Genomic DNA, 8575 nt, shown 5'->3' on the forward strand with positions numbered 1-8575 from the left:
ATTGTCTCAAGGGAAATAAATTAGGAATAGAAAACCAAATGCTACCTGTTCTCACTTATAGGTGGAAGCTAAACATTGAGTATACATTCACACAAAGTAGAAAATAGACACTGGGGTGTACTGGAGGGAGAGGCTGGGAGGAGGGTAAGGATGGAAAAAGTACCCATCAGGTACTATGCTCATGACCAGGGTGATGAAGTAATCTGTACACCAACCCCTGTGACGTGAAATTTACCCATGTAAGAAACTTGCACATATACTCTCTGAACTTAAAGTAAAAGATGGAAAGAAAAAAATATATATGTTTCTCTACAGCCATTCTTAGCACACAAATCTGTATTAGTCAAGGTTTTTCAGAGAGACTTATCAATGGAATATATGTAAAGATAGGTACATGAGGAGAGCTTTATTAGGGGAATTGATTTACATAATTACAGAGGCTGAAAAGTCCCACAGTAGGCTGTCTGCAAGCTGGAGAACCAGGAAAACCAGGAACATGGCTCAGCCAAAGTCCAAAGGTTGCAGAATCAGGGAAGACAGAGGCCTGATAACCCAGAGCTGGGAGGGTGTCTCTGGTGTCAACCCCAGAGTCCAAAGGCTGGAGAACCAGGAGTTCTGATGTCCAGGGCCTGGAAAAAAGGATGCCCCCAAATCCAGGAGAGAAAGTGTAAATTTGCCTTTCCTCTGCCTTTTTGTTCTGTTCAGGCACCCAGCTGATTAGATGGTGCCCACTCACATCTACTTTAGATCTTTCCCACTCAGTCCACTGACTCACAGTCTTATCTACTTGGTAATACCCTCGCAGACATACTAAAAAATGATGCTTTATCAATTACCTAAGTATCCTTTAATCTGGTTAAATTAACATATACAATTAACCACCACAGCCTCATTCTATCAGTCCATGTTACTTGGCTGTATTGAGCCCTACTATTACAGAATAAAGCTATATAATTACAAACAACCATAGATGTATCTGTGTTATTTGGGCTTTTTTTTTTTTTTTTTTTTTTTGAGATGGTGTTTCGCCATGTTGCCTAGGGTGTCATTTGCTGTTAAAATGTGTTGTCTGTTCTTTTTGACTAATGCTCACCAAATACAGCATTTCAGATGATTCTTACACAGACTTACATAATTTGGGCATAATGATTTTATGATTTGTAAGATAATTTTTCAACCTTTATTTATTTTTTTTTTCTTTTCTTCTTTTTCTTTTTGAGAAAAGTTCTTGCTCTGTTGCTCAGGCTGGAGTGCAGTGGCACAACCTCTGTTCACTGAAGCCTCCACCCCCTGGGATAAAGCAATCCTCCCATCTCAACCTCCCAAGTAGCTGGGACTACAGGAGCATGCCATTACACCCGGCTATTTTTTGTATTCTTAGTAGAGATGGGGTTTTGCCATGTTGGCAAGACTGGTCTCAAACTCATGAACTCAAAGGATCTGCCCATCTAGGCCTCCCAAAGTGCTAGGACTACGGGTGTGAAGCATCACACCCAGCCTATTCACATTTGTATGCTGTTTATAATCATTACGTTTCCCAGCTTCCAGCTTCTGTTGTTATAAACCTTCTGTTTCCATGCCCTCTGTGTATTCTTTTTTTTTTTTAATCTTTCTGCTTCTTTAGCCAGTATATTAAGAAATCTGACATACTCTCAACATAGCATAGCTAATAATATGCATTTTATTTACTTTGTATTTGTTTTACAACATACAGTTACAATGATTATACAATTTCAAGAGACTGAGAATTTGAAGCCTGATTGGGAAATTTAGCATTTTCGACATATTATCAGATCGATTTATTGCTTACAAAGTTTAATTAATATCCATCACCCCTTGTTTTAGTAACAAATATGAGAGTAATAATTTTTGTTAAATTGCTGAAATATTCCAAGGACTCTTCTGAGGTTTAGAGATAGTGCATGGATATTGGCAACTTTTCATAGCAGCATTAAATCACACAATTTAAAGAGAATTGTAGAGATAGTAAATATCACATTTTCAACCAAAGCTGTAAATTGTATCTAAGTTCATAAACAAATTTCTGCATTTCTGCTTTTTGATGTCATACATTGTGTTTGATTCTATATATTTGTTTCTGTATATTATCAATAAAATGAATCTATCTTTGTGTTTTCCTCTTCTACAGATTAAATATTCTCACATCAACTTACCTACCTTGTGTTTGATTTTTTTCCATACACCTGACCATCTGTGTATTACCTTTTTGACATAACTTTGCTTATCTCTATCTTTTGAAATATATTGACAATGAATTAACATAGTATTTTTATTTTATTTCCCCAGTGTGAATTCAGAGATTGTTACTTCATTTAATTACTATTTTTAAAGTCTATGACATCTCATGTATTAAACACCCATGAAAATGATGTGTTTACTAGTTTTTATTTATCAAGCCAAATTGAAAAATATGTTTACATAGTAATAGCAAAACATGTTATACATTTACTGCCTTAACACAAGACTCTATCTACTAATATCCTTTTGTTTGTTTATTTTATATAGATACATGTTAATTCTTGAATTTGGAGGCTTTCATATTTTTCCAACTTGTTTGCTTACGTTTTCAGTTCTGTGACATTTTGATTTTGTAAACTAGTCTCTATTTGGCTTCACTTAATCACTGATAAGGGTATTGACCAAACTACTAAAACCTGACGACATATATTTCAAACTGCTCTCATTAATTTTAAAGAATAAATAAATTACTCGAAAACCGTGGAACAAGACAAAACATTTATATCTGTATATTTTTGGAATGTGGTAACATTAAACATTCAAGCAAAAGCAAACACTAGGAAACTTACAAGATCATAAATAAAAGAGATAGTACAGTAAAGAGACAAAAAGAAATCCTTATTAAGTTCATAAGAAAGTATTAAGCAAACACTGTCAGATTCCAAAGAAGGAAGAGAATTAGAAAATCAGATCCAATATAATAATTAGGAGTTTTAAAATACTTTTACAAGTTAAATTTATTTTAGGTTAAATAAAATTTTAAAATACACTCCAAACCTTTTTATATAAATGCATTGAACTACTTTTAGGATTCAAATGGTCCGTTTTAGGCCAACTCAGTTTGGCTGCAAGAAAATATGATTGTTTTTATGAAATTCACCTGAATGACCTCTTTATGATAGTCTATAATGTATGCTGTGTCCACATCTCAGATGATGAGAACGTCACCACTTCTATCTGGTATAATTTCAGCAGCAAAGGCAAAGACCATGAAAATTTTTCCTTCAGATACTCCAGATAAGTATGGCTGTCTCTTTAGGAAGGCCTGGTTCTCGTTCAGTTTCCTCTGCATGTCTACTATGCCAACTCCCTATCTCCCTATTAATAATGCTTAGCTGTAATATTAATATTGACTTCAATTTACTTTTATTTTATTCTAACTAATAACAGTTTCTGTATACAGAAAATTGATGAAAGTATTTAAAGAAAGTGTCAGATTTATTCAGTGACCATTAATCTACCTCTTTTGAAAGTATACACTGATTAAACTCTGTAACACCTAAATGTGTCTGCCTGTGGCTTGTGGTTTGTGTGTATGTGTTAATCTAGAAGAGAGAAAGGAAGAATAGGGTGGCTCAGCTCACTCGGGCTACAATAATAAAATACCTTAGGCTGGGTAATTTATAAGTAACAGAAATTTATTGCTCACAGTTTTGAAGGCTGGGGAATTCCAGGATCAAAGAACCAGCAGATTTGGTGGTTGACGTCTTGTTCTCTGTTTCAAAGGTGGTGTCTCTTTGCTGTTTCCTGACATAGCAGAAGGGGCAAACAGCTCTCTCACACTACTTTTGTAAGGTCACTAATTCCACTCATGAGGGCTTCATCCTCATGATAAAATCACATCCTAAAGACGCTATCACATTGGTGATCAAGTTTCAACGTATAAATTTTGAGGGGAACATTCAGGCCTTAGCAGAGGGGCTAAAAAACCTTGTGAGTAATAAATGAGAATGGAAAAAGAGCTGTAATTGATGCATTCTGATAGGACAGTAGCTTTTCTAATAGCTTATTTCTGTACGAATTAACATGAATACTTTAATGAATATAGGTTTGTATGGAAGGGGAGAGACATAAAAGGTGGATAAATCAGTGTCTGTTAACACTATAGTCTTAAAATTTGATTTAGGCAACCCTCCAAGTAAAAATTTGACCACCTAAAAAGGGAATTATATTTTAATTCAAAATATTTCTATTGTATGTGATATTTAACCATCTGTTACAGATAATAAATGAGGAAAATACAAACAATGGATAATCAAAAATATTGTATATAGATAGTATCATGTGGCATTGTGGCTTTGGTTTCTAAACACTTAATCCTTTTCTTCTTGTAGTCAAGGTAAAATTAAAATAAGCCCCTAACTATGAGAACTCAGTGAAGATTTAGAATGATTATAAAGTAAAGGCCCCTTGGTCTTTTATCATTTTGGGTAATTTGCTTTATCCCTAACTGCATACAAATATTTGAGTATTGGCAGAATGTGTTTAATGAGAAAATATTCTAACAAAAATTGTAGGCATGAACTAGACTTTGAAAGTAACTAAAATATGCTCTTTAGCTCAGATTTTTAGGCAAAAAAATCACAGAAATGAAGGGATCCTTTTCCTGCTAATTACATTCGCTAAAGCCTTCTTTACTTCCTTATTCCTGAGGCTGTAGATCAGAGGATTCAATATGGGGATCACCACTGTGTAGAACACAGAAACCACTTTGTCCTGATCAGGGAGTAGCTGGAACTAGGTCTCAGGTAGGTATAGATGGAGGTGGTGTAGAAGAGGATTATGGCTGTCAGGTGAGAGGCACACGTGGAGAAAGCTCTGTGCCTCCCCTCCCCTGAATGCATAGAAAAAATGGAGAAGAGAACGTAGGAATAGGAGGAGAGGATGACAAGCAGAGCCCCGACCTTATTCACACCAGCAAAAGTGGAAAATATGCTTTCCTTCAAGTGTGTGTCAGAACAAGAAAGCTTAAAAAGTGGGGGACTGTTGCAGAAGAAGTGATGGATGACATTGGAGCCACAGAATGACAAGCTGCTGACATAGCTAGTGTTGACCATGGAGTTCAGCAACCCTGCAGCAAAAGCCCCGGCTGCCATTTTTAGGCAGACTGTCCTGGACATGATCAAGGAGTAAAGCAGCGGGCGACATATGGTCACATACCGGTCATAGGCCATTAACCCAAAGAGGATGCATTCGGTTGTCGCCAGGGCGATAAAGAAGTACATCTGTAGGAAGCAGCCAGCAAAAGAGATGGTTTTCTTCTCTGATAATAAATCTGCCAGCATCTTTGGGGTGATGGTGGTTGAGTAACAAATGTCCACAAAGGACAGGTTAACCAGGAAGAAATACATGGGTGTGTGAAGCCGGGAATCGATCCTGATTAAGAGGATCATCCCGATATTTCCCAGTACGGTAAGTGTGTAAATCACAAGAAATAACAGAAAGAGGATAATCTGTAGCTCCAGCGTGTCTGCTAATCCCAATAGGATGAACTCAGTCAGTGAGGTATAATTTTTTCTGGTCATTTGTGACAAATATATTTTGTGCGAACTTTATATGAGATGAAAATGTTTCTCCCTTTGAAAGTTTATAGAAAAAAATAGAAATGTTAATAAGGATATTCACATATGGAAAAACCTAGGATAATATGGCATAGTAATTAAAGTGACTGAAGGATGATTAGAAGACAAATGGATGAGCATGTGAATTTAATAAACAATGGTCTCTATTGAATTTGGGTTGTAGGTCTCTCAAATTTCTGATCTAAGTCTACATACTTCAGTTTCTGTAAATGTGCATACATTGTACTATTTTTTCTATACCAAACCCCATTCAAATCCCAAAGACTGACACATTAATGCTAAAATCACTCCTATTTTCTTTGCAGGTATGTGAGTTTAACTAAAATACATGTTTTTTCTTGCCTTTAAAACAGCTCTATACATTTAACTCCAAAATTTATACATTGCCACCTGCTGCAATAATAGTAATCATTTCAAATAACACACATTTTGACATCTATTATATCCTAAAGAAATAATGATATTTAATGTTTTAAAGTAATCCAAACAGTTATTTTAGTTACAAAGTACATTATCAAATTAATGCTATGTAGCAGAAAATGTACCTGTCCACTGAAGTGAATAACAGCAAAAAATCTTTATAACTTCTGTCCCATGCAGAGTTTTACCAAAGTAGTCTATTATTTTCTTTTTAAACTGGGATTCTCACTTGCAGGTTAAAAAATATAAAAAAGAAACTTTATTTTTAAAAAGCAGTGTAAAGTTGAACTATGCACTGGAAAAATTTTAAGATTGAACCTTCTGATTAAATACATGAAGCTGCATTTTTATTTTGTTTTCCTTCAAGCAGATTGGGTGATCTTGGCGACTAGATAGTAAGTATTAACTGAGGAGTCAATTCTCTAAAGGCAGGAACTTAAGTCTCAAAAGAAAGTTAAACCCAGGCTGGGGGTTGTGGCTCACACCTGTAATCCTAACCTTTTGGGAGGCCAAGGTAGGCGGATCAGTTGATGTTAGGGGTTTGAGACCAGCCTGGCCAACATGGCAAAACCCTGTCTCTATTAAAAATACAAAAAAATTAGTCGTGCCTGGTGGCGGCGCATGCCTGCAATCCCAGCTACTCGGGAGGCTGAGGCACCGGAATCGCTTCAACCCCCGAGGAAGAGGTTTCAGTGAGCCATGATCACGCCGCTGCACTCCAGCCTGGATGACAGAGTGAGATTATTTAGCGCTTGTATCATAAGGTGATTTCTGACGTCTATGTAATTTTAAAGTCCCATTTAAAGTCAGTGAAAATGTTATGTATTGACCATTTACATTGTTTCTTTCTCTGTAGTTTTAGCTTATTCCAATTGGATGCATAGCGTAACACCAAATTATTATTCTTCCCTATCAAAATGCAAAATTACACAAATGATTTTAAATATAGAATCGGTGTTTATTTGCAACTCTAGAATTGGGTAACATCACTTCTATAAAATAGGATAAGAGATCCATTGAGCTGAGCAGAGGAGCTTGGCTTTACAGGCAGAAAAGGATTGGAGAAAGCAGAAATAGGGGGAAAAAAAGTAGCTTGGGGCTGGGCGCGGTGGCTCGTGCATGTAATCCTAGCACTTTGGGAGGCAGAGGTGGGAGGATCACAAGGTCCGGAGTTTGAGACCAGCCTGACCAACATAGTGAAAACCCATGTCTACTAAAAAACAAAAAATTAGCTTGGCGTGGTGACGGGCGCCTGTAATCCCAGCTGCTTGGGCGACTGAAGCAGGAGAATCACTTGAACCCGAGAGGCCAAGTTTGCAGCGAGCCGAGATCGTGCCACTGCACTCCAGCCTGGGAGACAGAGCAAGACTCTGTCTCAAAAAAAAAAAAAAAAAAAAAAGCTTGGTTATTTCAAAGCTACTTTTAGGGTTCACGTTCCGTTTTAGGCCGACTCAGTTTGGCTGAAATCTCCTGTGTATTTGGAAAACAGGATTGTTTCAAGTTTAGTTTGATTACCTGGCATTTAGGAGACCAGTTCAAAAAAATGGCCTCCGATAAATTTTGTTTAACATCCCGTATCCCTTTTGTCACTCTCTCTCTCTCTCCCTCTCTCCGTGTGTGTGTGTGTGCATTCCTTTGTCTGTATGTTTAACTTCCAATCTAGCTCTATTTCTCATTATAAGTAACAAGAAAGGGAAACTTGCTAATATCCATTCTACAATGTTTAAAGAAATACTCTATCCTAAGCAAATAGGATAATGAATAAGAAAACCTAATTTCTTTTTAAAATTTTAAAGTTGTGTGGTCTTTTTGAAATTATTATTTGTGATTCTGATTCTACAAGGGGATGAAAGTTCATATTTTCTAGATCTCAATTCTCAAGATAGTAAAATAAACCACACTTGGGGTCCATATGAAAGCGAGTCTACTCATATAGGGAATTCATAATACATTAAGCATTATAGGATAGTTTTATATTTAAATTCTCAATAAATGTTCTACATCACTTGTTGGGGTTGTCATGATTATTTCCCCCATATTTTAGATGAGGAAAGGTGGTACTGTTTACACAAAAGTCTATTCAAAGTCTCTTCAGTTATAAGATGGAACACTGTAAAATCTTGAAACTGTTACTTTGATATTTAAGGCTTATTTTCTACATATACTTAGTAGATTTTAACCATCACTTCTGAGGGACCTTTGCATAATGATTGATCTCCTTTACAAAAGTAGTTAATTAAAAATCTTCAAATAGTTTAAATGGGAGGTGTACATTTATATTTTATGAATTTTTTATTTTGAATGCTTCAAATTAATGGAAAGTAATAAAACAAATCATACATATATTTAATAAACTATACTTATAAGTAGAACTAAACTTAAGAACTTTCAAATAATATAATACTAATAACTTAGATTTCAAATTTAAATTTCAAGTTTAAATCAAATTATATATATGGAGAGGGGGCAGCAAGACTCTTTATATTATAAAACAAATTATACTAAATAACACATATACGAATAACGCCAGATAT

General features: G+C 35.6%; 1 pseudogene; it reads right to left on the reverse strand.

Moving 5' to 3' along the window:
* Positions 4623–5563, reverse strand: OR5F2P (olfactory receptor family 5 subfamily F member 2 pseudogene; annotated as a pseudogene).

Source organism: Homo sapiens, chromosome 11 (genome assembly GCF_000001405.40).
Source record: "Homo sapiens chromosome 11, GRCh38.p14 Primary Assembly".
Taxonomy (NCBI): Eukaryota; Metazoa; Chordata; class Mammalia; order Primates; family Hominidae; genus Homo; species Homo sapiens.